Raw genomic sequence first — 27,849 nt, 5'->3', positions numbered from 1 at the left:
AAGTGTCCATCTCTTTAGAAGACTCTCTAGCAGTTTCCTATAAGTTAAGCAAAATCTGTCTTATGATCAAACAATTCAATTTTTAGGTATTTACATAAGAGATCTGCTAACATTCAAAACAGCTAAAAACTAGAAACTACTCAGGTGTCCGTCAACAAGAGAATAGATAAACTGCAATATAACCATTTAGTGAAATATTACAACTATAGAAACTTTTTTAAACTGCTGATATAGGGAATAGCACAGATAAATCTCAACATGATTATGATGAGTGCAAGAAGCCAGACACACACTGTGTGATTCCATTTATATTAATTTCCAAACAGGCAAAACTTATCTATGATCATAAAAATCACAACATTGTTTTTTTGAGAAGGTGCTTGGTTGGAAAGAGGCAATAGGGTAGGTTCTCAAGTAATAAAAATATTCTATCTCCTGAATGGGATAGTAATTACTTTTAAGAAACTTATTGAATTATACAATTACTATATATCAATGCATTTAACTATGTAAATTTTACTTATGTAAAAATATAAGTTATTAAAAATAGGGAAGCTTCACATCTATGGATATGTAATAATCAGATAGAAATATTAAAATATTTATATATTACATGATATAAAAGAAAGTTATAGAACAATATAAAAGCATACGAATGTGTATACATACACATTCAAAAATAAAATTGTAAAAATGTTTATGGGAGAATAAGAAGCGTTAAGATTTCTCTAGCTTATTTGAAAATACTTAAAATAAACACAAAGTAAATATGGCAAAATACTGATAATGATGGAACCAGTTCCAGTTCCTTGTATGTGCTAGTTCACTGTTTTCTTCTCTTCATACACTGTATGTTTACAATGTGTTCATAATGACAAGTTTTATAAAATGCACAGCAGGGTAAATCTTTCATTGCCAAGAACAAGTGAATATGAATGTGTTACACAGGTTTAAGAATTTATTAAGAAAAGAAACAAAAGAATACAGAAACAATATATATAAGTAAATTAGAACCTTAAAAAATACCTGATAAATTATACCAAGGTCCTGATTAAGGGAGATGGAAGGGGAAGGCTAGTGATGCTAAACATCCACTGTTTAAACTTATTCATTAACAAAGGCACAGCAGAAATAACTATAACTGGAATGAAAATGGAAATTTAATAGAATGATGAAAGAACACTTTGTATAACAAGGCTAATGTGTTTGAAAATCTGCATGAGCTGTGATTTGCTAAGAGAAAACAGGTTAAATTTGACACAAAACAAAGAACAAGCAATAACCATACAAAAAAAGGAAAAAAAGAAAAAAACTTCTAGATGTCCTAACTCCAAACCAGCAAAAACAAAGGAGAGTCCAGATGATGTCACTGATGTGTTCACTTAAACACTGATAGTGAGACTAGGGCTTTTTTACCCACTCTAGAACACAGTATAAGAAGAAAATCCTCAAAATTATTTTAACACAACCAGAATATCTGATATCAAAACATGACAAAAATAGCACAAAAAAGAAAAATCACAGATCAATTTCACTTAGTTGTATACTTGTAAAAATTCCAAATCAAATTAAAATACCCACAATTAAGTAGTAAATTAAAAGAATAAAACATTTTTAAAACCAGTAGGGTCTGTTCATTCAAGGAATTAAAGGAAGTTGCAATAATAGTAAATTAATTCACAGTGATAAAAGTCTTTAAAGAGAACAGGAAAATTGATTCTGCAAAACAATTTGATTATATCTACCACCTGGTTTTGATTAAAATTCCTTAAAAAAGATAAAAGGTGGCAGACTTTCCTAACATGGTAGACAAAGTATTTCGCACTTAAAATCAGCATTTTACACATTGATGATTAAGACCACCCATATCCAAATAACTTACCTATTGGGAATAAGACCTGATACCACCCCCAGCAGAGTCCTGCCCAGCAAGATAAAACTGTAAACCAATAAATAAATTCAGTTTGTTTATCTAGGCAAATAGTTCTTCTGTCATTGATAACATCTTTATATAGGCAAACAGCTCACCTAGAAAATGATTTCACCATCAATACTCACATTAAGAACCTCATCTCACTTTCCCACAAGGTATTGCATGACAAATTTTGCCCATTTCTAATTAGTTCCCTGCCCAGACCCCAAAGCCTCATTTCTTGATTTTGAAACATTATTAAACCCTATCAAGGTGGTGTTTTCCCTTGCTGCAGGTAAGTTTAACAAACTCAGCTTTGCTTGATCATAGCTCTTTCTGGTGGTCTTTGGGAGGAAATGACCAGCGACAATGTGCCAGTCAAACCAAAGAAGCATACCATTAAACTCTGATTAAATCAAGGGTAGGTAATATTTCCATAACTGTTCAAGTGTTCTGATAGTAACAGTCTGTGGACTTTGTCAACATAACTAAAATCAGGATCAATATGAAGGGGGAAAATAAAAACTTTAAATATTTGTGAAGGATTTAGTCTATACTTTGAAAAAATCTGAAAAGCAACAAGAAACAGTAAGGTGACAACTTACCCCCAAAACAAAACAAAACAAAAACTTTAGATACAAAAAATGAACAAGAAAATAAATTAAAAGAAAAACTCCCATCACCACAGTGAAAATATTAACAGTAATTAAAATTATTGAATAAGAAAAGACATACCTTGTCCTTGGATACGAAGACTTACTTAATATTTTTAAAAACCAATTCTCCCCTCAATTGATTTATTAAAGTTGATGAAATTGCAGTCTAAACTGTAATTTCTTCCAACGAGCAGACACGAGACAGGAGGCAGAAGAAGAGACACACAAATCCACAGAACAAAAATGGAGCCAGTCACAGATGAGAGTACAGCATATGCGCAAGATGGCGGTACAGATAAATGGGCAATTATTGGCAAATAATCGCAAGTAATGGCAAGTAACTTGGCAACTTTAAGATTTCAAAACAAAAAAATTTCTCATGATTTAAGAATTTGAATTAAAAAAACACAAAAGAATTAGAATTTAACATAGGTGAAGGGTTTTATGGACTCAATATATATATCTTTCCAAAAATGACATGAAACTCAGAAGCCATAAAAGCGAACATGGTTATACTTGGACATGTAACAATCATACACATTCTTATAACAAAAACAAAGTTGAAAAGTGTGTAAAAAATAGCTATAATGGTTGACAATCCAAATCTTATTTCCCGAAATAGTAAATGAGCTCTTCGAAATCAGGAAGAGACTAAATCCTCCTCCCACCCACAAAATTGGACATAAAGAAGAAATTAAAAAATACAGATGGCTAATAAACATGAAAAAATGACCAAACTCAAAAACAAAAGAGATACAATTTAAGACAATAGTTTGGGTGATCACATTGGCAAAAATGTTAAATATTTATAAAATCCATTGTCTGTGAGGCTGTAGGAAAGCTGGCAATCTCATTCATTGCCATTTGAAGATAAAGTTGTTAACCACATTTTTGAAGGCAATCTTGCAATAATTTTCAAAATATAAATATAAAGTGTGCACATACTTAATCCCAGTAATTCAACTGATAAGTAATTTATTATGATATTATAGACAAATGCAAAATTACTGATATATAGGGAGGTTCATTGCACAGAAATTTGGTGCTAACATAAATATCTATGAGTGAGAAATGCTTAAAACATTTAATTATATTTTATCTACAAAACATTCATGTCGTCATTCAACAAATGACACAGATGTGTATGTACTACTGAAAAAGAAAAAGGCCATTGAATAAGGGCTGTTAAATGAAAGAGGTGATTTGCAGAAAAATGTGTTACAATATGGCCACACACGTGGATCCTTCCCCATAATGGCTTGTGTGTTTGTGTGCATCTATCCACTAAAAGAATGCATGTAGTTCACTTAATAGAGGAAAACTATAGGGACAGAATTGGAAGAGAGGAGGGCATTTAATTTATATATTATTTAAATATGCTTTGAATTTTTGAAAAAAAATCATGCAGTTTCTTTTTAATATAGTCTGTATTTTTCAGTTTACCATGTGGCAAATGAAAATTATAAATGTATATTTATGGGAGCACTGAGCAATTCCACCATTTTGAGCATCTTGTGTAATATTATATCCTCTACTGAGGCTCCTGGGATTGAGTCAAGTGGCAGCAAGGGAAACAGTCACCATGCCCAAATTAAAGTCTCATCGATGATATCCCAACATGAGCATTTCTCAGTTAAGCATTTCTTATCTGCAGGAGGCATCCACTGCAACACAGGAAAGAGAAGAGTCTCCATGCGGAAGGAAGACTGTGTCATTGTTTTGGTGAAGCTGGCAGTAGAAGGAATGGCACCAACTCAACAAATCCACCTCTTTGTGGCCATCACCTGCAAGGACACAGTGGGGAAAAGTGGCAAAGGTGAGAAACACATTTCCTAAGGAGTCATGGGGGTATGAAATTCCTCTTTAATCTTCCCCCTACTTGTGCTAGAACAAATATACCCAGAGTACACAGAGAAAATCTCATTTCTAGCACCTGGGTCCATGATGAGGCCAAAACAATGACATTAAAACTTCCTCATGTCCAGGATGCCAGATATTGGTGCTGCTTTTTCTCCTTTTGCTGGGCTCAAAAGTAATAGCCATCAACAACCTTGGGTTTCATGTCTGTCTCTTCCCATCTGGTTTCTTAAAGCTCTAGGTCATTCATTGATTTGATCAGTTATTTCAGACCAGTTTGTCAAACTTCCAGTCTAACAGTTATGGAGAGGCTACTGTGTCTTCTGTGTACAACAATTTTCTAGCATCACAATGGATCAAGCCATGAAGGAGTTCAGTTTACTAGATGAGAGAAGTTATGGAAATCCTTCATATTAACAGTAAATGTACTGAGATGTAGAAAAGCCACGAAGGTATATAAGAAAAGCTGCATCTCTTAACATATTATGAAATCTTAGAATCAATTAGAATGTAATCAAACATCATCAATATTCGGAAAATTAACAGCTCAATTTCTACTAAGACATGGCTTCTCCCAGAAAGCAAGGACTATTTTAACTAACATCTTACCTTTAGTGGGTGGTCTAGGCAATGCATAGGTGAGGAGGCTTTTTGTCTAAGGGGTGTTGTTTTGGGAATTTGCTGATAACATTCACTCCCAGAAGAGTTCCCAGGAAGTCATCTTCTGAGGTTTAAAAAAAAAAAAAAAAAAGAAAGAAAAAAAAGAAAAAAGAGAAACACCACTTCCAATGAAACAAGCAATGCAGCTGGAATCTGGAAATTCCTTCTCTGCTACTCTTTAATATTGATTTAATTTGGAATCTACCCCTTACTTACACAGTTCTGAAACCATAACCATCTAGTCCACAACTACACATTTCAATGTCAGCACACTGCATCAGGGACCTTCTCTCTTGCGCATTTCCAGACCCGACTAGATCACCTGAATCCCACTGAAAGTTATGTCTCTTTCTGTTTTAAAATCATTTGTCTTCTACTGCTTAGTTGGTCAGGTTATTCACAAAATTACTCAAGACAATCTACTTATACATCTTTTTTCAATAAAAGTTTATTGAGAACCTGTTCTATGACAGGCAATCCACAAGGTGCTTGTATCACGAAAAAAAGAACTGAAAAAATATCTGGACATAAGAAATTAAAAGTCCACTGGATGAATCAATCATATAAATAAAGAGCTGACACATAATGGTCTTATGGAGGCAGATTCAGTTTTGGGCTCGGATTGCCGAGGAAGACCTGTTGTGACCACTCGTCTTTAACTCCCCAGAACTGTATCCACCCTCAGCTGGCTCTCAGATGGGTTTTCATGCTATTTAACTGGAAACAAATGTCATCAAACTCAAGAAGAGCAAGATCTATTAACTCCTTCCATCCTAGGCCTGTTTCCTATAAACATGCAGTTCCCTGCCCACATACCTGCAAGGGTGTCCAAGAGACCACAGGTAGGCATGGAGAGCCACTGACCAGGGAGTAGGTTGTCAGCTCATTCTCTGGAGTTTTCTTTAATTCATTCTTTTGCTTCCTGACAAGTCAATAAACAAATTTAGTAATATTTATCACAATGTGGTAGCTTACAATTCTATTTTCAAACATACTTTCCCCAACATAATTTTAGCTAATATTTCTAAGACAGGTATTTTATAAATGTTGTTTTTATCGTATCTGAAAGTTAAGGCAAGGGCATGGACAGTTTTGCTTCCCTAGGGGCTCTATCATCACCTGACATAAAAGAAAAAGAGAAAAAATAACATTTTAAGAAAAAAAATGCAACTAAAATACATACATCTGTATGTTAATATAAAATACACACACACACACACACACACACACACAATCTAATTTAACAATGAAACATTCAGGAAGAATGGGTATCCTGTGCTGGGAAAACACGGAGGTTGCTAAGCCCTTTGTGTGTCACGTGCACAGGCTTCAAATACGCACTGCCCTCCCTTTACCCTATAAGGTCCAATGGACACAGAGAGTGGCCAGCTAATGACTACGTTAGTAAGATAAAATATTCCCATTCTATTAAGACTGAGTGTTATAAAACAAAATTTGTACCATTATATACAGAGCAATACGATCATGGTCTATTAGCACCCAGTGAAGCCCAAGGAAAGCTTCTAAGAATTCCACTGGTGAAGGACATGTTTCTAGCTCAACAACTTTCATAAGACCATCTTCACAAAATATACATTTCAATAATTTCTAAGTATCTGGAAAGGTTGGATTAAACTAAGGTACTCTTTTTTAAAATAATAGTCTAAAATTTGGCCCAAAACAATAATCTAGTGAAAGGCAATATTTATGTGCAATAATCAGGACTATCCTAACCACTCTTCATTTAAAAGACATACATAAATAAAATATCTTGATCTATGATTTGGAAGAAAGCATGTAATACAAAATCATTTTCAACAGCACCAATATAACTAGAAAGTCTAGATATGATAAAATGATGTAACTCTATTCAGAATAGCCTCATAACAGTGGCTTACATGTGATTTACTGATCTCAGCCCTGTTGATTACCTAAGGGACAAATGTAAAACTGTGCATATCTCAAACAGATGTGCTAATAACCTCTGAAGCCATCTGCAAAACAATCCATCATAAATTTTACCAAATGTATTTACAGGTTTTCTTCAATTGTCCTGTCCCTGTCAACCATTAAGATATCTTGAAATTACAGATTCATGTAAAAGTGTAATGTCTTAACTTTACAAAAAAAGTTAAGCCAAGAACATATAATAGTTAAAACGTGCATTTGTCTTCTGAATAAAAACATACTGATACAAGGCTACTGTTTTAATTCACTCTGTTGTCTCCTGACAAGTTAATAGACACATTTAGAAATATTTATCACAATGTGGTAGCTTACGATTCTATTTTCAAACATACTTTTCCCAAAATAATTTTAGCTAACTTTTCTAAGACAGATATTTTATAAATGTTTTTATCACATCTACATCTTTTATCATAGAATAGCATACATGTAGTAGCTCTAGATAATCTGAGTCCAATAGAACTTTCTGTGGCAAAAGAAGTGTCTTATAATTCTATTCTGTAATATCAATTATGTTGATAATACATGGTGTAGAGTAACTTGAGAAAAATCACTAAATGGGTAAAGAGTGCAATCAGCGTGTTTCAGCCTATCACTAACTGTGTTAGGGACAAGTTCTCATTTTATTTAATATAGTATCTTCAAGATAGAGAGCACCTTTTCAATGATTAGGAGAGATATAAAATAAAAATAAAGATAGTATTACTTACAGGTCCTGAGGGGTATATGGCATGCCTGGAGTCCACACGCAGAGGTCAGGGAGCGAGAGAGAGAGAGGGAGAGAGAGGGAGAGAGAGAGAGAGAGAGAGAGAGAGACACCCAGGGGCCAATGCCCTTATTGGGTCAAGGGTACTATTCAAACAGGTTTTCTGTGGAGACTTTTAAGTGGTGGGTTTAAAGCAAGCAGGCAAGAGTTCCCTGGGGTCACACTGTGACTGGGAGGTGGACACTGGTTCCATGAGGGGTGTGGGGTTCCAGGGTCTTGTCAAGTAGATTGCATCAAGCTGTCCCATGATGAAGTGGTCCAAAGGAGGCAGTTGGATAAGGCAGCTATCTGGACCAATCACACTGAGGAACGAGAAGGAGGTGTAGAACTGGAAACTGTGCAAAAGTGAGTAAGCCTTGCTTCTGGTATAACAAAGTTAAACTTATACTCAAGATGGATGCCGAGGCAACATAAAATTATAAGAATTCACTACATGCTTCCAATGCCCATACCCAAAAGGACACACTGCTCAGGCCTCAGGGACATTCTCTCAATCACACATCTCATTCTAGCCCAATTTCATCTTCATTCCCAAAAAGGAGAAACTGTTCAAACATTCTTGATATCCAATACCTTTCTGCTATAAGCTAAGCAGAGAAATGTCAAACATCCTAGAATCTCTAGGAATGAAAACCATGGAGGACTCACCATGTGATTAATGTTGATATATGATTTGATTACAAGAGGCTTCCCAAAATAGATCAAATTATTGCCTAGTTAAAATAATTCCCCACTGGCTACAAACATACTTGCCAGGCACAGTGGATCATGCCTGTAATCCCTGCACTTTGGGAGGCCAAGGAGGGCAGATCACCTGAGGTTGGGAGTTTGAGACCAGCCTGGCCCACATGGTGAAACCCTGTCTCTACAAAAACACAAAAATTAGCGGTGTGTGGTGGCACGTGCCTGTAATCCCAGCTACTTGGGAGGCTGAGGCAGGAGAATCGCTTGAACCCTGGAGGTGGAGGTTGCAGTGAGCCAACATCGTGCCACTGCACTCCCGTCTGGGCGATAGAGCGAGACTCAGCCTCAAAAAATATATATATATTTTCTTACTGCTCCTTGCAGAGCAGGGCTAACCCATAGACAGCGTTCCCAGAGTAGCCCAAAGATAAATTTAGAATGAGTGATATTGCTACGGGATCTTCTGGAAACCTCACAGAGATGAGCACTGAAGCCAGTGAGAATCAAAATGTCAACGCTGTGTTGTTGAGTTGTAAGTGCAATGAGAACTTTGTTTTCCTTCATAGCTCTCCCCTCAAGAAAGCACAATGCAGCAAACAGCGACATTCCTGATCCAATCTATAGGGTCAGTAGTGATGTTGTCTCCATCATTCCTAATTCTAATGATCTGTGTCAGTCTAGCTAAAGGATTGTAAATTTCACAAATCTCTGCACAAACCCAACTTTTGGTTTCATGGATTTTTCTCTGTATTTTGTCTGGTTTTTTATGTCATCAATTTTTGCTCCAATCCCTATTGTTTACTTCTTTCTGCTTGCTTTGGATTTCATCTTCTAGTTTAGTCTTTTTCTTGTTTCTTAAGGTGGAAGCTTATGTCATTTATTTATCTTCCCTTTTTTTCTGATACAGTTATTTAAAACTATAAATATCCCTCTAAGCATGTCTTTAGTTGTATCAAATTCTATGCAAGATGTTTTCTGGATTCCTTTTATTTTTTAGACAGGGTCTCACTTTGTCGCCCAGGCTGGTATGCAGTGGTGCAATCTTGGTTCAATGCAGCTTCTACCTGCTGGGCTCAGGTGATTCCCCTACCTCAGCCTCCTGAGTAGCTGGGACTACAGGCATGCACCACCATGCTCAACTCATTTTTTGTATTTTTTTGTAGAGATGGGGTTTTGCCATGTTGCCCAGGTTGGTCTTGAACTCCTGGCCTCAAGTGATGTGCCCACCTACGCCTCCCAAAGTGCTGGAATTACAGGTGTAAGCAACCACCCCCGGCCTTTCTAGTTTAATATATATATTTTTGACCAATGGGCTCTGTAAAGTGTGTTAATTTCCAAATATCTTGTGACCTCCAAATTTATTTCTGTGTTGATTTCTAATTCCTCTATGGTCACACAACATACTCTACATGGTTTCAATCTTAAATTTATTGAGTACAGTTTTATAGCCTAACATATACTCTATCCTGGAGAATGTTCCAGGTATGCTTGAAAATAATTTGTATTTCTGTTGTTGGGTGAAGTTTTCTCTGTCTGTCTGTCTGTCTGTCTAACTGTCTATCTATCTATCTCAGGTCAAATTGGTTGACAACATTGCTGAAGTATGTTGTAACCTCAATGATGCTCTATCTAATTGACTTATCACTGATTAAGAAGAGGGTATGAACAAAAGCTTTTATTGTTGAATTGCCTATTGATCCCCTCAATCATGTTAAATTTCAGTGTATGTAGTTTTGGGCACTGTTGTTAGTGCTGATATGATTGTAATTGTTACATATTCCATATTAACCCTTCTATCATTAAATACTATCCTTCTTCCTCTCTAGCAATACTTTATCTTAAAGTCTCTTTTTTCTGATGTCAGAATAGCCACTTCTGCTCTCTTCTGGATTCGCTGGATATAGCTTTTTCCATCTTTTTACTTTCCAACTATTTGTATCTTTTGTTCTAAAGTGTCTCTTCTGTAGACAGCGTATAGTTGCTCATGTTTAAAAAACAACGGAATTTCCTAATCTCTTAAAAATTTAATATAATTGTCATATGGCTGGGTTTATGTCTGTCATTTTCCTATCTGTTTTCTATATGTCTTATTGGTTCCTCTGTTCATCTTTAACTGCCTTCTTTTGTGTTAAACAGATCTTTTCGGTTATTCTATTTTAATTCTTTGGTTGTTCTTTTAATATTTTTTGAATTGTTTTCTTACTGGTGGTCCTAGTGTTTATAAAATACAACTTAAATGATCACAGCCTCCCTCAGATTAACAATATATGTGTAACATGGCCTTTTATATGACTTGAAATCAATTTGAGAGAAGCAATTCTATTGCTCAGTCCAGATTTCCAAAAGATACTGAAGCCATCATCAATCCAGGCATGTTTATAAAAGGGACTGTGAGCCTGAGATAGGAGACAGACACTACACACTAACAATTCTGTCACACTTGGACACAATGACACCATCACCACACTAAGTCATAGAGACCAGGATACAGGAACGATGATCCAGCCACATGGCTGACTACCATTATCATTGGAATGTTATAGTTCCCTAAGAAGAATATTCTCTGGACAAAATGCTTACTGTGAGAATTCCCACTGGCCTGTGAGCATGGAATGGTATAATTATTTCTGATACTTTCTGTCATATTTCAAGGGCAATGTTTAAACTCTTTCATATGACATTCACATTTTGGTCTACATGACCTGTGGAAATGGAGTAAAAATATGGGAAGATGAGAAATATACATGTCCATTTGTCAAATATGCATAAGAAAGGAGGCTTCACTATGTATCTGCATATAAAATGTACTAATTCATTACTCTACTAGGATGTCTCTGATATTATTCAAAATATAAATTGTGCAAAAATTCTAGGAGAGGAAAAAAGGCCTCAAATAACTCACCAGGTTATTAATGCCTTACAGTGTTTGGTTCAACAGACTTTGTAAAAAAAATTCTAAGTTATTTAATAACACAACAAAAATAATCCAGGGAATTACATGTATTAAAAATTGGATGTTAACCTTGCAGTGCATCGTTTTGATCTTTCCTGGAGAAAGAAGCTGGTGCAAATGACAAAAACAGTACTTCTTTGGTGTGGAGGTGAGAATTCCAAGCGGCAAAATGTTGTCTTCCACCAATATCACTTCCAATCTATAAAGGGGAAATCAGGGAGTTGAGAAACAAAACATTCCTAATGGAATATTTAGTAACAAGAGGTTGGTTGTAAGGAATTCACCAGAGATGTTCACTGGACCATCTGTATGACAAGAACAATACTCGGTACTTGAAACATGACAGTATAGAAATAATTTTTTCTGAAACATTGGTCTCAAAGTTTCCTCAGCATACCCAACACAACACCATTCATCATGACTAGGCTCTCTCCTTAAATCCATTAGAAACCCATTGAAGAGATATAAAAGTGGCCAGAAAAATCCACATTTTAAAAACTTGGAAATTTAATCATTTCACATCTAGGAATGTTTAATGCAGCATGTAGCTGAAGACAGTACTTCTGTGCACACAAAATTACTCTCTCAGCTTATGAGAAAAACGAAAGACAAAGAAACTGATTAAATCCCAGTGACTGCTTGGCAAGCAAATTATACTGTGAAGATTACATAAGTAATATCTATTTTTCAATTTTCATATACTTTTTTCACTTAATAGAGAAATGAAAAGTGAAAACCCCAACTCTCCTTGGATTGTGACCATCTCATTGCCCTCACGAGAGCAAGCATGACTTAGAAGATTATTGCAGCTCCAGCAAAAGTGTGAATGGCTCTAGTGTAGGCATAGCTATTTCCCGCTTTTCACAACTCAAGTGCTGATTCCCCAGGGTCTGTTTACTATCAACGTATTTATGTTGCCAATCAAGAACTCAGAGTTGCAATTTCATCTCCAAACTGGGTACCTACAGATCACTGTCCAATTCTACTTCTCTAGTGCATGTAAGCTGGTTAGTTTTCCAGTACCACAGTCCTTGCTGGGACCACATAGCTGAACAAACTGAACTCTCCTTCCATATAGTTTGCTTAGGGCAGGTAATTGGGCTGGACCTCATGTTCAGAGAAGTTATTATTTAACTCACTGTTTTCCCAGGTTTTTCAACAAGATCAATTATTAAAGTTATCAGTGACACATGCAAACTTCTAAAAAAGGGGGCACTGTTTGCTTCAGAAACATGAAAGAAAATGAGCACTCTGGAGTACACTTCTCTGGGACACACTGATACACCCTATTAAGTCATGGAGACCAAGCCCCCAACACAGCAATGACCCAGGCTCCATGCTGCCCAGCACAGACAGTGCCTTATAGAGTATTACATAATCCCTAAAAAAGGGCAATATTTTAGTGACAAAATGCTTAGCGACCTGACCTGGCCCTTGAGGGTGGGATGGTAAAATTCATTCCCACTGGTCCCTGAGGATGGGATGGAAAAATCATTTCTGTTATTTTCTTTCATGTCACATCTCAAAAGGGAAAGGAATAAAGTTTCATGTGGGGCTAGGTGCCTTGTCTTTGTTGACCTGTGGGAATAGGGTAAACATGTAGAAACATGAGAACGATACAAGCATATGTGTCTGCTGGTCCGTCAAGCACAAGACAGTGGGATTCAGTTTATGTACCTATTAAATTAGCTAATGTACTGCTCTCCTAAGATGTTTCCAGTGTTATTCAACAATAGTCAATGTGTTTGTCTCTAGCTTCCATCAGTCCAAATACTGTCCAACATTTACTGCCAGACAAATCAAATGTGCAACCAGACTATCAGTTTGCTCAAAGTTCCAAGAAGATGTTGGCCCGGTGAACATCCCATTCACAATAATGCATAGCATTTCCGTAAATTCAACCACCTCAGGATTACTTTACCTTTAAAGGTGACCCAACGGACTGGGGAGGAAGAAGTCACAAAAAGCCATGATAAGGGAATAAACAAATGGTCTAAAAATCACTCGTAGCACTCAACCTGCTTGAGAGTGGGAGCGTGGCAATTTGCAGAAGCTGCAGAGCTGCACTGCACCTGATTCCACTAAAAGTGGTCACAGCAATGCAGGCAGGACACACACAGGTATGGTACTGTCCCGGGACATGTGACTAGAAGAACTGGGCAGTGCGCAGAGAGGGAAAGGCGGCCTCTGAACCCTCTCACCATGAGCTGCTTCCCACCTACTCTCAGCTCTCAAGAGTGACGCTCACCAGGTGGTACTGCTGAGGACCCAGTGGCATGTGGGCACCGCATACCCCTTAGTCGCACCCAACTTTCCTCTGCCACACTGCTGAGGATCAGCCTCTCTGGCACTCTCCACGCTTCAGGCCCATAGAAAGATCATCAGCAAGACTGAGAAAGCACAAAAATTCTGGAAAAGAACAAACAGAAGCCTCAGATGACTCACCAGATTAAGGTCTTATAGTATCTGAATTAACTGACTCCATATAGCACCCATTAAATTCCTAAATACTTAAAACAGTAATAACCCAGGAAAAAAGATATCAAAAATTAGATGTTACCTCAGCGTGTTTCATTGTATTCTTTTTCAGTTGAGGAAGCCGGTAAAAGTGACATATCAGATCTTCATTTCCCAGGCTTTTCAACAAGATCAATTATTACAGTTATCAGTGACAAATGCAAACTTCTAAAAAAGGGGCAATGTTTGCCTCAGATCTTCATTGGCGTAAAGGTTAAAAATCTATGCAACTCTAGTATCACATGGAACCTGCAAACCACAGGGGCAATTAGAGAAGTTGAGAAAGAAATCTTCTACATCGAATGTTTCCTGATAAGAAGTTATGAGGAATTATGATACATACTCACTGACAAGGTGTATGTCCAGAAAAAAGTATACTTATTCCACAGAACAGGAGAATGTTTAAAGTCCTTTTTCCAAGACCTGTTCAGGTTAACCGTAAAGTCCACCTAGACATCAATTAACAAGGATCTCCCTTAACATGCATAGGAAAATCCACTGATGAAATATGAAGATTAGCCAATAAAATCCACATAACATTCCAAGGACTGGAAATGTAATCATCTCACAACATCTACTTGAATCACTCAAATGTCTAGAATATTGCTTTATACAGACAGAAAAAAGGTCTGAATTCTTGGTACTGGGTTAGCAAGCAAATTTAAACAAACTAAAATATTCTCATGGTTAGAAATCACTCTTAATTTTCCAGATATTACCTCTGCCTAAAAAAATAATCGATAAGATCCACACCATCTTTGGAACTGATGATCTAAATGACCTTAGTAAACTGCTCTCACTCAAAAGACTGTCATGTCCCAGATAACTTATGGATGGCTCAAAGGTAGGCACAATCATGTCTCATGGGGTCTCACTACATATGTGCTGGTTTTCCAGGGTCTATTTACTACCAGTGGATGGATGCTACCAGCCAAGCACCAAAGGAATAGCCATTTTATTAAAAAATACGATATTTATAGATGACTGTCCAATTCATTTCCTCTAACATACGCAGGCAGATTAGCTTTCAAATACCCCAGTCCCTGTGGGCACTGACCATCCACATCCCTCCACGTTTGCCTATCATGTGTGCTGGACCTCAGCTCACAGAAGTGGTTTGGTCACTCATTTTTTTCAGATTTCAATGAGATTTTTTTTTTTTAAAGTCATCGTCAATCCAGGTACATTTATAAAAGGTACCTTAAGCCTGGGATATGTGACAGACACTGAGCACACAGCTTTCCATCAGCTTGGGGTACACTGACCCACACTATTCATTCAATTATGGAGACTGGCATCACAGTCAATGACTGGCCAATGGCTGACTAGCATGGCCAGGGTCTCATGGTCATTGGAGTGTCACGATCTCCTAAGAGGAATGCCAGTATTTTCAGGACAAAATGCTTACCATGGGAGAATTCCTACGGATTCTTGAAGATGAGGTGATAGAAGTATTCTCAATACTTTTCTCATGTCACATCTCAAGAGGACAGAATAAAATATTTTATATGAAACCCAGTTCTTGGTTCATGCCGATCTGTGAAAACAGTACAAATATGGGAAGATGGTAAGTATATATGTCCATTTGTCAAACATGCACAAGAAGGGAGCGTTTGTTATGTATATTAATATCAAATATACTAACATAACTCTACTAGGATGTTTTTGATATTACTGAAAAGGAGAACGCAAAAAAAATTGGAAATAAAGGATAATGAAAGCCTTGGATGATTCACCAGATAATTAATGTCTCATACTGTTATTAACAGATCATTCACAAAACTGATTATCTACTTGACTACAGAAAAAATTACAAAATAAGCCATAAAAAGTAAATTTATTCAAACTTGGATGTTACCTTTGGAGTGCGTCCTTTTGTTCTGCCCCCAGGGAATGAAACAGGTAAGAGTGACAAGATCAGCATTTCTTTGGGATGGCAGTGAGAATTCCATGCAATTCCAAAATCACTTCCGTTCTGCAAGGCACAGGGGACATTACAGGAGTTTTGAAACAAAACCTTCCCAACTGAATGATTCCTGACAACAGTTTGTAATTAATTAGCCATAGTCACTTGACTATCCACATAACTAAAAAATCTGCTTGTTGCTTGGAACAGGGTAAGTACAGAAAATCAATGTTTCCAAGATTTTGGTCTCGAAGGCCAAAGGCCCCGAGTATTACTAAAATTAGAATCTCTCTTAAAATATACAAAGACTCAATGAAGGAATATTCCTATTAGCCAACAATATCCATCTAAAATCCCTAGAATTAGAAATTTCATTATTTCACATTAAAATGTTTAATGAAGCATCTAATTTAATCTATCATCTAATGCTTAGAAAATTGCTCCCTGAGTGACAGGAAAAAGAAAAACAAATGCTGTTCTAATCCTTGAGACTGAGTTAGGAAGCAAATTCCAGCATGTAATAAGATAATCCCATGAATACAACCCACTCTTCAATTTTCACATATTTCTTTTAGTGAAAGAATAAATAGCAAGCAAAGACTGATAATTTCTTTCTAATTGACTACATAATATACCTATACATGCTGATACTCACTAAGAATGTTGTGGCGTCTACGAAAATAGTGTGAATGACTCGAGTGCTGGCACAGCCATTTCTACAGTGTTCACTCCTCTGACGCTGGTACCCCAAAGCCTGATTACTAGGTGTTTGAAGGCTGTCAGCCATGCACTTAAATCATTGTCATGTAATTCCCGAAGATATATAGGCCTCTGTACAATTCATCTGCTCTAACATATGCAAGTGGGTTCGTTTTGGTACCAGTTCCTGACCAAACTGAACGCCCTCCACGGGTTTGCCTGGTATGGTCCCTGTGCTGGACCTCAGCTCACAGAAGTGTCTTGGTCACTCATTTTGTTCAGATTTCCAAGGTTTCCATTTTTTTAAGTCATCATCGATCCAGGCACACTTATAAAAGGGACCTTAAGCCTGAGATATGTGGCAGACACTGAACACTGATCTTTCTGTCACCTGGGGACTTGCCAACCCACAGTATTCAATTACAAAGACCAGCATCACAGCCAGTGACCAGTCTCATGACTGACAAGCACAGCCAGGGTCTCATTGTCATTGGAGTGTCATGACCCCCTAAGAAGAATGTTGGTGCTTTCAAGACAAAATGCTTACCAATATTTGAATTCCCCCTGGCCCTTGAGAATGGGAGGGCAGAATTATTTCCATTACTTTCCTTCATGTCACACCTCAAGTAGAAGGAATAAACTCTTTTATATGAAATCTAGTTTTTGGTCCACATTAACCTTTGAAAATAGGAAAAAATTATAGAAAAATAAAAAGTGCAAATGTAATTTGCCAACCATGCAAATAGTGTACATATACAACAGGCTTACTATGCACAAGTATATAAAATATACTAAATTATTTTGCTAGTAGGGTATCCTAATGTTATTTGAAAACAGAGGAAGTATAAAAATACTGTACAAAGAACACAGAAACTTCAGATGACTAACCAGATTATTAGGGCCTCACACCATTTGGATTAACAGACTGCTTGAAAAACCAATTATAATCTTACTTGCTAAAATAAAATAATAGAACGAACCCAGGAAAAATGCACTTACTAAAAATTGCAATATTACCTCTGAAGTGTATTGTTCTCATTGCCAGACAACGAATCTGGTACACGTGACAAAATCAGCAGGTTACTGGAGCAGCAGTAGGAATTCCATGCAATTCCAGTATTACCTCCAATACACAAAGCACACTGAGGAAGTAGGAAGTCGACAAATGAAACCCTCATAATTAAAAGAGTTTCATTTGTCAACTTTCTTACTTTCATAATTACTAATGACGAGTTATAAGAAATAAACCATAGATATTCACTTGCCCATGTGGTATGAGAATAAAAATTATGCTCACTCCCTGGAAATGGGTAGTACTGAAAGTCAGTTTTCTAAGACCAAAAGGCCTCCCTTAGTATCACACAATAAAACTAGGATCTCCCTTTAAACATCTATGAAACCCACTAATAAAAATAATGAATATCAGGCAATGAAATCCACATAAAACTCTATGAATTGCAAATTTAATCATTTTACAATTAGAAATGTTTACTATAGCATCTACTAGAATCCCTTAATCAAATGTCTAAAAAGCTTCTCTTTGAGTGACAGGCAAAACTTAAATTCCAACTTCTGTGACAAGATCAATAAGGAAATTAAAATGTTAAGACTTTCCACAAATAGAAAGTACCCTTCAATTTCCATACATTCTTTTCTTTAATAGATAAAAGCTACTCTTCAATTTCCATATATTTCTTTTACTTAATAGATAAATAATATGTAAAACCTCATAATACCTTTTACACTGTCCATCTAATGAACCTGAGAGACTGACCTCACACACAAGATTATAGCACCTAAAAACATGTATAAAAGACTCTAGGGTAGGCAAAACCATTTCCTACTGTTCCCTCTACTCTTGTGTAATTCTGTTTACTATGAGAGTATGGACACTGCCAGCCAAACACTGAAAGAAATGCCATATAATCCCCAAAGATATATGTACACAAACATATATAAATATATACAAACACATACAGACCTCTGTACAATTCATGTGCTGTAAGCTATGTGAGTGGGTTTGTTTTCCAATACCACAGGCCATTTTGGTACCAGTTGCTGACCAAACTGAACTCTCTGCACGTGTTTGCCTGGCATGGTCCCTGTGCTTGACCTCAGTTCACAGAACTGCACAGAAGTGGTTTGCTCACTCGTTTTGCTCAGATTCCAACGAGATTCATTTTTAAGTCGTCATCCATCCAGGCACATTTATAAAAGGGACTTTGAACCTGAGATATGTGGCAGACACTGAGCACATAGCTATCTGTCACCAATGACCCACACTATTCAATCATGGAGACCAGCAGCACAATGACCAGCCCATGGCTGCCTGGCATAGCCAGAGTCTCACTGTCATTGGAGTGTCCTGATTCCCTAAGAAAAATTGTTGTTATTTTCAGGACAAAATGCTTTTTAACATGTGAGAATTCCCATGGGGACTTGTGGGTGGGAGGCGGAATTATTCACTATACTTTTCCTTTATGTCTCCACACAGGGAAAAAAATAAATTCATCCGTATGAAGCCCAGTTTCTTGGTCCACCTCATTCTGTGGGAAGAGATTATATACATGGGAATGAGAAGTATACATGTTCATTTTTCAAACTTAAATAAGACAGGAGGATTTACTATGTAACTATATGTAAAGTATAAGAATTTTATTACACTTATAGGATGTTTCTGATGTTAAAGTTGAGAAAAATGTAAAATGTTAAAATAAAAGAAACTGAAGGCTCAGATATCTCATGAGAGTATTGAATGCCTAATACTATTTGTATTAAGTGACTCCTTGCACACCTAATGAAATTCTCAATTACTTAAAAAAATAATAAAAACAACACACAAAAATGAATTTACTAAAAATTCGATGTTACCTCAGGAGAGTATTGTTTTGTTGCCTCCCAGATGCGTTAGCTGGTACAAGTGACAAAATCAGTGCATCATTGGTTCAGCAGTTAAAGTCCATGGAATTCTGTGAAAACCAATCTACAAAGTACATGGGCAATTAGGAAAGTTGTGAAATAACATTTGCCAAATGAAATATTTTGTTACAAGCAGTTATAAGAATTCACTTTAGACATTCATTAGACTATATGTATGACAAGAATAATTATGCTCACATCTTTGATCAGACTGATACAGATAGAACTTTTTCTATTCTATTGTTTTTTCTATTCTAGACAGAATATTTTCTATCCATGTCAGTGTTTTCTCAACACACTGACTTCAAAATTATTTATTCTATACCTAGGATATTTCTTTAAACACAGCGAGCACTGTGCACTATTGGCATAGAACCTATGTACATCCTCCTATATGCAGGAAATCATTTCTAGATTACTCATGATGCTGAATACAATGTAAATGCTGCGTAAATAGTTGTTATACTGTACTGTTTTAGGGAATAATAACCAAAGAAAAAGTCTGTACTTGGCTGGGCATGGTGGCTCATGCTTGTAATCCCAGCACTTTGGGAGGCTGATGCAGGCAGATCACTTAAGGTCAGGAGTTCGAGACCAGCCCGGCCAACATGGTGAAACCCCATCTCTACTAAAAACACAAAAATTAGCCTGGCACAGTGGTGGGCGCCTGTAATCCTAGCTATTCAGGAGGCTGAGGTAGGAGAATCACTTGAACCCGGGGGACAGAGGTTGTAGTGAGCTGAGATCGTGCCACTGCACTCCAGCCTGGGTGACAGAGTGAAACTCTGTCTCAAAAAAAAAAAAAAGAAAGAAAGAGAAAAAGAGAGAAAAAGACTGTACATGTTCAGTACAGATGAAACCATACAATTTTTTGTCAAGTATTTTCAATCCATGGCTAGTTGAATCTGAAGATGCAGGCCCCATGGAGAAGGATAGCAAACTATATATAAAATTGTTTGCTAAATTAATAGAAAAAAACAAGAGAAGAACAAAAGAAACAGTTCAATCTTAGCAGCTGGGTTGGCAACTGATTAAAATATACTTGGAAGATACCACATGAAATTGTTTCACTTTAAGAAAATGAGAAGTAAAACAAAAGAAGACATTTATGCAGCCAACAAACATGAAAAAAGGCTCATCATCACTGGTCATTACAGAAATGTGTATCAAAACCACAATGAGATACCATCTCATGCCAGTTAGAATGGCGATCATTAAAAAAAGTCAGGAAACAACAAATGCTGGAGAGGATGTGGAGAAATAGGAACACTTTTACACTGTTGGTGGGAGTGTAAATTAGTTCAACCGTTGTGGAAGACAGTGTGGCAATTCCTCTAGGATCTAGAACTGGAAATACCATTTGATTCAGCAATCCCATTACTGGGTATATATCTAAAGGATTATAAATCATGCTACTATAAAGACACATGCACACATATGTTTATTACGGCACTATTCACAATAGCAAAGACTTGGAACCAACCCAAATGTCCATCAATGATAGACTGGATAAAGAAAATGTGGCACATGTACACCATGGAATACTATGCAGCCATAAAAAAGCATGAGTTCATGTCCTTTGCAGGGACATGAACGAAACTGGAAACCATCATTTTCAGCAAACTAACACAAGAACAGAAAACCAAACACCACATGTTCTCACTCATAAGTGGGAGGTGAACAATGAGAACACATGGACACAGGGAGGGAACATCACACACCAGGGCCTGTTGGGGGGTCAGGGGCTAGGGGAGGGATAGCATTAGGAGAAATACCTAATGTAGATGATGGGTTGATGGGTGCAGCAAACCACCATGGCACGTGTATACCAATGTAACAAACCTGCACGTTCTGCATATGTACCCCAAAACTTAAAGTATAATAAAAAAAAAAAGAAAATGAGAAGTAAAAACTCATCATATCCTTGGATTTTGACCATCTCATCACCCTCAAAAGATCAATCAGTAGCTCAGGCAAATGTGAGAACAGACCAAGTATAGGCAGGAACATTTCTCTTGGGTCTCACTGTTCTGCTTCCCAGGCTCTGTTTCTATGGTATATAGATGCCGCCAACCAAACTCTCAGAGTTTCCATTTTACCCTACAATTGAATTTTTATACACAAATGTAAAATTCGTTTCCTCTAATAAATGCACTCAAGTGGTTTTCAAATACCCCAGTCCCTGTGGTTGCTTCTAACTGACCAACTAGTTGCAACTCCAGGCAACACATGTTTGACTGGAGTGGTCTCTGTGCTGGACCTCAGCTCACAGAAGTGGTACAGAAGTGTTTTGGTCACTCATTTTGTTCAGATTTAAATTAGATAAATCTTTAAGTCATCATCGATCCAGGCACATTTTAAAAAGGAACCCTGAGTCTGAGATATGTGACAGACACTGATCACACAGCTTTCTGTCACCCTGGGACATGCTGACCCACACTATTTAATCATGGAGACCAGCATCACTGTCAATGGTCAGCCCCCTGGCTGACTAGCATAGCCAGGGTCTCATGGTCATTGGAGTGTCATGATCTCTTAACAGGATGTCAGTATTTTAAGGACAAAATGCTTATCATGGGAAAATTCCTACTGGTCCCTAAGGACAGGAAGCAGAATTATTCCCATTACTTTCCATCATATTACAACACAAGGAAACAATAAACTTAGCCATATAAAATGTAAAATGCAGTTTTAGTCTGCATCATCTTGTGAGAAGAGATTTTATATATATATATATTTATATATATACACATGCACGCACACGTCCATTTTTTAAAAATCTGTATAAGACAAAAGGTTTCATTATTAATCAGCATAGAAAATATACTAATTTATAACTCTTGGAAATGTTTTAAATATTATCCAAACTACAGAGAAGAAAAAAATCTTAAAAATAAAGGAAACTGATGCTTCAGATAGCGCATCAGATTAATAATTCCTAACATTGTCTGTATTAACCTATTGTTCACCAAACCAAATCACTGACAGTTTGAAAAATAATAAAAATAAATTTACTAAAAATTGGATACTACCTCAGGAGTGTGTTGTTCTGTTTCCTCCCAAGTTAGTTAACTGGTACAAATGACAAAATTAGCCCTCCACTGGTTCAGTGGTAAAATTCCATGGAATTGTATCTCACCCAATCTACAAAGTGTAGAGGAAATTAGGGAAGTTATGAAACGAAATTTGCCAAATGGAATGTTTAGTTACAAGTGAATATAAGAATTCACAGTAGACACTCACTGGACTATCCAATGAATGACAAGAAAAATTATTCTTACATCTTTGATCACTATAGAATATAAACTTTTTTAAAAAAAATCTGAGACATTAGTCTCAAAGCTTCCCTGGCATCCCCAATCAAAAGCATTTATTACAATTAGGATACCTCTTCAAACACAATGGAAACCTTTGAGGATATATGAATATAGCCAATGAAATCTATGTAAAAAAGAATTTGTAATATAATCTAAGTTTATTTGAGGCAGCATACAGTTGAAACCAGCACTCAAATATAAACAGTGGTTTGCTTTTTGATACGAAAAACTAAAATCAAAAAAACAAGTGACACAATCCTAGTGGCTGAATTGGCAAGAAAATTAAAATACACTAGAGTAGTCTACTTAGAGTACCTTTTTTTTTTTTCAATTTCCATGTAATTGTTTCACTTAATTGAAAATAAAAAGTAAGGCCGGGCACGGCGGCTCATGCCTGTAATCCCAACACTTTGAGAGGCTGCAGTGGCTGGATCACCTGAGGTTGGGAGTTCGAGACCAGCTTGGCCAATATGGTGAAACTCCATCTCTACTACAAACACAAAAATTAGCCAGGGGTGGTGGCGGGCGCCTGTAATCCCAGCTACTCAGGATGCTGGGGCGGGAGAATCTCTTGAACCCAGGAGGTGGAGGTTGCAGTGAGCCGAGATTATGCCACTGCACTCCAGCCTGGGCAACAGAATGAGACTCCATCTCAAAAAAAAAAGTAAAATCTCATTAGTATCTTTGGATTTGGATGTTGACCATCTCATTACCCTCAAGAGACTGCTCATTGACCAGATAATTCTGCGAGCTCAAATGTGTGAATGGCTCAAGAGTAGGTGAAATAACGTCCCATGAATCTCACTATGCCCTGGTTCCCCAGGGTCTACCAGCTGTTTCTATAAATGCTGCCAAGCAAATACAAAGAGAGTTGCTATGTCAAACCACAGCTGGATATTTACAGAACTGAGAACAATTCATTTGCTCTAATATATATGGGTAGGTTAGTTTTCCAATACCCTAGTCCCTGTAAACTCCCTCCTCATGTTTGCCTGGCATGGTCCCAGTGCTGGACCTCAGCTCACAGAAGTGGCACAGAAATGATTTGGTCACTCATTTTGTTCAGATTCCGATGAGATCCATTTTTTTTATAGTCATCATCGATCCAGGCACATTTATAAAAGGGACCTTGAGTCTGAGATATGTGGCAGACACTGAGCACATCTGTCACTCTGGGACACACTGACCCACACTATTCAATCATGGAGACCAGGATCACAGTCAATGACCAGCCCATGGCGGACTAGCATAGCCAGAGTCTCACGGTTAGCAGAGTGTTATGATTCCCTAAGAGGAAATGCTGGTATTTTCAGGACAAAAGGCTTACCAATATTAGAGTTCCCACTGGCCCTTGAGGATGGGAGGGCAGCATTATTCCCAATACTTTCTTTCCTTCTTGTCTTGCCTCAAAGGGAAGAATAAATTCATCCATATGAAACCTAGATCTTGGTCTATGCTGTCCTGTAGGAAGAGAGTATGTATACAAATCTGAGAAGTATACACGGACAATTTTTAGCCTTGCATAAGACAGGATGTTTCACTATTAACATATATGGAATATACACTAACTTAGAACTGCTGTTGGACATTTCATATGTTATTCAAAGTAGAGAAAAGAACAAAACCTTTATCAAAAGGAGATTGATGCCTCAGCTCATCAGAACATTAATGTCTGAAACTGTTAGTATTAACCAATTCCTTGTGAACATAAATTCTTGATTACTTAAAAGAATAAAAATAACTCACAAAAATAAATTCACTAAAAATTGAATGTTACCTTAGAAGTGTATTGGTGTGTTTCTTCACAGCTACGTTAGCTGGTACAAATGTCAAAATTAGCACTTCACTGGTTTGGCAATGAAATTCCATGGAATTCTATCTCACCCAATCTACAGAGTACAGGGGAAATTAGGAAAGTTGTGAAACAAAATTTGCTTCATGGACTACTTTGTTATAAACAGTTATAAGAATTCACATTAGACACTCATTGGACCATCTGTATAACAAGAACAATTATGCTCACATCTTTGATCCAAATTTTATGGAAATAATGTTTTCTAAAACATTTGTCCCGAAGTTCCTCCAGCACATACCTTTCAAAATCATTTATTACAACTTTTAATTAATACAGTGGTCACACATGGAGGACATATGAAAGTAGACAATGAAATCCATGTGAAAATCCAAGAATTTGAAATATCACTTCTAAAAATGTTTGCTGCAACATGTAGTTGAAACCAGCACTGAAACATGTATTAAATAGCTTGCTTGGTTGATGGGAAAACAAAAAATAAACAACTGTTTCAGTCCTAGTGACTGGGTTGGCAATCAAATGAAAATATACTACAAGATTTCATATGAGATATTTATATCTTATATGATATAAATAAATATCTTATATTTCATATGTTTCATATATTTCATATAAGATATTTATTCTTTAATTTCCATGCAATTATTTCACTTAAAAGAAAAGGAGAAGTAAAAACTCATGATGTCTTTGAATGCTGACATCTCTTTGCCATCAAGCAACAAACCATCAACCAGAATATTCTGGGCGCTCACACAAATGTCTGAATGGCTTGTGGGTTCACACAATAATTTCCTGTAAATCCTATAACTCCTGTGCTGGCTCCCAGTGTCTGGTCACTGTAGTGTACAGATGCTACCAGCCAAGCATTTGAAAAGTCTCCGTCTTACCCCCAACCATATATTGGTAGGTTAACTGTCCAGTAATTTCCTGTACTGTATGTGAGCTGGTTAGTTGTCTAATTCCACAGGCCGTTTCATAGTACCAGTGCTGACCAAACAAAACACCCTCCATGTGTTTGTCTGGCATGGCCCCTGTGCTGGACCTCAGCTCACAGAAGTGGCACAGAAGTGATTTGGTCACTCATTTTGTTCAGATTCCGATGAGATCCATTTTAAAGTCATCATCGATCCAGGCACATTTATAAAAGGGACCTTGAGCCTGAGATATGTGGCAGACACTGAGCACACAGCTGTCACCTTTGGAGGCACTGACCCACACTAGTCAATCACATGGAGACCAGCATCACAGTCAATGAACAGCCCAGGCTGACTAGCACAGCCAGGGTCACATGGTCACTGCAGTGTCATGATCCCCTAAGAGGAAATGCTGGTATTCTCAGGACAAAATGCTTACCAATATCACATTTTGAGGTTTTGATGTCAGACTTTTTCATGATACACTCCATTCTGTCACTTTTTGAGGTTAAAAAGAAATAACTTTCGTATGAAAATCTGTGCTGGTTCCACAATGAACTACAAAAATAGAGAAAAAGTGAGCAAAGATGTGTAACACAGACATTCATTGTTCAAATAGCCTGGGGATCCCCACGCTGTAGGCCTTCTCACATTCTTATATTTCATATAAGTTTCATATATTTCATATATTTATTCTTTAATTTCCATGCGATTATTTCACTTAAAAGAAAATGAGAAGTAAAAACTCATGATGTCTTTGAATGCTGACACTGGAGAATTCCCTCCCATACTTCATGAGGCTACTGGCTGGTTGACCCAGGTTATCGCATATGATTGAGCTGCCTGACCTAAGATGTTCTCTTCATTCCTGTGGTCCAGAGTCTCCTCCCCTTACATAGAGATACACGGCATCTCAGAGTACAGAAAAACCTTCGCCATCTCAGGAAGTACCAGTCAGCACCAGTTGGAGGCCCAGCAACATCAGATAAACTAAGTGATCAAAACAGCATCCCCTCAGCTCTGATAGCAAGACTGCCTGCGAAAACATGGCCTACAAAAGTAGGACAGGACATTCAAATTAAACCTAAACAGGGCACATGCCTGCTAAAATAAAACATTTGAATAGATTCAGATTCCTCTAACTTAAAAAGGAAAAAAAAATGCAGGATAAACTAAAACATCACCCATCTATCAAGAACCGGAAAAATCACAATTAGAAGGAAAATCATAAGCAGGATGAGAAAAGACAGTTAACCAAGCCAACCTCAAGATTAACCAAATGTTGTGGTTATCTGAAGAAGTTAAAAACAGTCATGGTAAAAATGCTTTAGCAAGTAATTATAAAGCTTCTTGAAAAAAGTAAAAAAGTAGAAGTCTCAGAAAGGTAGTAGAAGTTTTTTTAAAAAAAGAACCAAGTGAAAAAAACAGAACTAAAAAATTCAAAAATAATAGAGTAGTGATTAAGTGAATTTAGCATAGAACAATCCAATTTAGCTAATCTGGACAAGAAAGAAAATACTCTGAAAAAAAAAAAAAAAAAAAAAAAAAGAACACAGCTTCATGGACCTGTGTGTGACACGGAGACATGAGGCTGAAAATAATTATAACATTCTTTTTTTTTTTTTTTTTGAGCCAGAGTCTCTATCGCCCAGGCTGGAATACAGTGACATGATCTTAGCTCACTGCAACCTCCACCTCCCAGGATCAGGGGATTCTCTTGCCTCAGCCTCCTGAGTAACTGGGACTATAGGCACACAACACCACGCATGGGTAATTTTTGTATTTTTAGTAGAGATGGGGTTTTGCCATGTTGGCCAGGATGATCTTGAACTCCTGACCTCGTGATCTGCCCACCATGGCCTCCCAAAGTGCTGGGATTACAGGCATAAGCCACTGCGCCCGGCCAGCAGTCATGGATTTTATATTGGAAATTAAATCCCATATCTTGCTCACTGAAACGTGCTGAACACAATGGATAAATCAAACCATCAAAAGAGTATGTGCAAGACATCTATACAGCTGAAAACAAGGATTTTATCCCCAAAAATACCTGCACACAAAGAAGTATGGTAGGATAGAAGTCCAAGTCTAGATATGAAACACTGCACCCGGAATTATCTGTGGGAGGCAGGGCTGCGCCAGTGGTTTACCTCCGCCTCTCTGGAAAACACAACCATCCTGGAAATCGAAGCATGTCTTCTACGCTCCATTTTCAGACTCTTTAACAGAACTCATAGAAAAACCTTGAAAAGCTACAGGAAAATAAGCCAACAAACCACAGATAAAGCCAACTAAGTATTATACAAATAAT

At 37.1% G+C, this 27,849-nt stretch overlaps 2 long non-coding RNA genes and 6 other non-coding genes across 8 annotated transcripts in view; all 8 read right to left on the bottom strand.

The window, feature by feature from the left end:
* Positions 1-27,849, bottom strand: part of SNHG14 (small nucleolar RNA host gene 14) — a 595,855-nt gene that overhangs the window by 296,046 nt on the left and 271,960 nt on the right. The window contains exons 47-61 of the long non-coding RNA NR_146177.1: positions 27,589-27,790; positions 25,978-26,096; positions 24,589-24,700; positions 24,139-24,272; positions 19,447-19,558; positions 17,123-17,253; positions 15,829-15,945; positions 15,379-15,507; positions 14,318-14,419; positions 14,014-14,219; positions 13,702-13,862; positions 11,523-11,652; positions 7,761-8,118; positions 5,902-6,007; positions 5,035-5,149 (exon numbers count right to left, since the gene is read on the bottom strand). This is a non-coding gene — a long non-coding RNA (small nucleolar RNA host gene 14). The remainder of the gene's footprint in view (positions 1-5,034; positions 5,150-5,901; positions 6,008-7,760; positions 8,119-11,522; positions 11,653-13,701; positions 13,863-14,013; positions 14,220-14,317; positions 14,420-15,378; positions 15,508-15,828; positions 15,946-17,122; positions 17,254-19,446; positions 19,559-24,138; positions 24,273-24,588; positions 24,701-25,977; positions 26,097-27,588; positions 27,791-27,849) is intronic.
* On the bottom strand, positions 941-6,872 carry IPW (imprinted in Prader-Willi syndrome). The gene is made up of 3 exons (NR_023915.1): positions 5,902-6,872; positions 5,035-5,149; positions 941-4,352 (listed from the first exon to the last, which is right to left on the bottom strand). It is a non-coding gene; the product is annotated as an imprinted in Prader-Willi syndrome (long non-coding RNA).
* SNORD116-30 (small nucleolar RNA, C/D box 116-30) lies at positions 15,065-15,149 on the bottom strand. The gene has a single exon (NR_047032.1). It is a non-coding gene; the product is annotated as a small nucleolar RNA, C/D box 116-30 (small nucleolar RNA).
* Positions 16,813-16,897, bottom strand: SNORD116-29 (small nucleolar RNA, C/D box 116-29). The gene has a single exon (NR_003360.1). It is a non-coding gene; the product is annotated as a small nucleolar RNA, C/D box 116-29 (small nucleolar RNA).
* Positions 18,684-18,776, bottom strand: SNORD116-28 (small nucleolar RNA, C/D box 116-28). The gene has a single exon (NR_003361.1). It is a non-coding gene; the product is annotated as a small nucleolar RNA, C/D box 116-28 (small nucleolar RNA).
* On the bottom strand, positions 21,750-21,843 carry SNORD116-27 (small nucleolar RNA, C/D box 116-27). The gene has a single exon (NR_003341.2). It is a non-coding gene; the product is annotated as a small nucleolar RNA, C/D box 116-27 (small nucleolar RNA).
* On the bottom strand, positions 23,822-23,919 carry SNORD116-26 (small nucleolar RNA, C/D box 116-26). Its single transcript, NR_003340.2, has one exon. It is a non-coding gene; the product is annotated as a small nucleolar RNA, C/D box 116-26 (small nucleolar RNA).
* SNORD116-25 (small nucleolar RNA, C/D box 116-25) lies at positions 25,662-25,755 on the bottom strand. The gene has a single exon (NR_003339.2). It is a non-coding gene; the product is annotated as a small nucleolar RNA, C/D box 116-25 (small nucleolar RNA).

The sequence above is a fragment of the Homo sapiens genome, chromosome 15, assembly GCF_000001405.40.
Source record: "Homo sapiens chromosome 15, GRCh38.p14 Primary Assembly".
Classification (NCBI taxonomy): domain Eukaryota; kingdom Metazoa; phylum Chordata; class Mammalia; order Primates; family Hominidae; genus Homo; species Homo sapiens.
The sequence above is the reverse complement of the archived record's forward strand: the minus strand, read 5'-3'. Positions and strand labels throughout refer to the sequence as shown.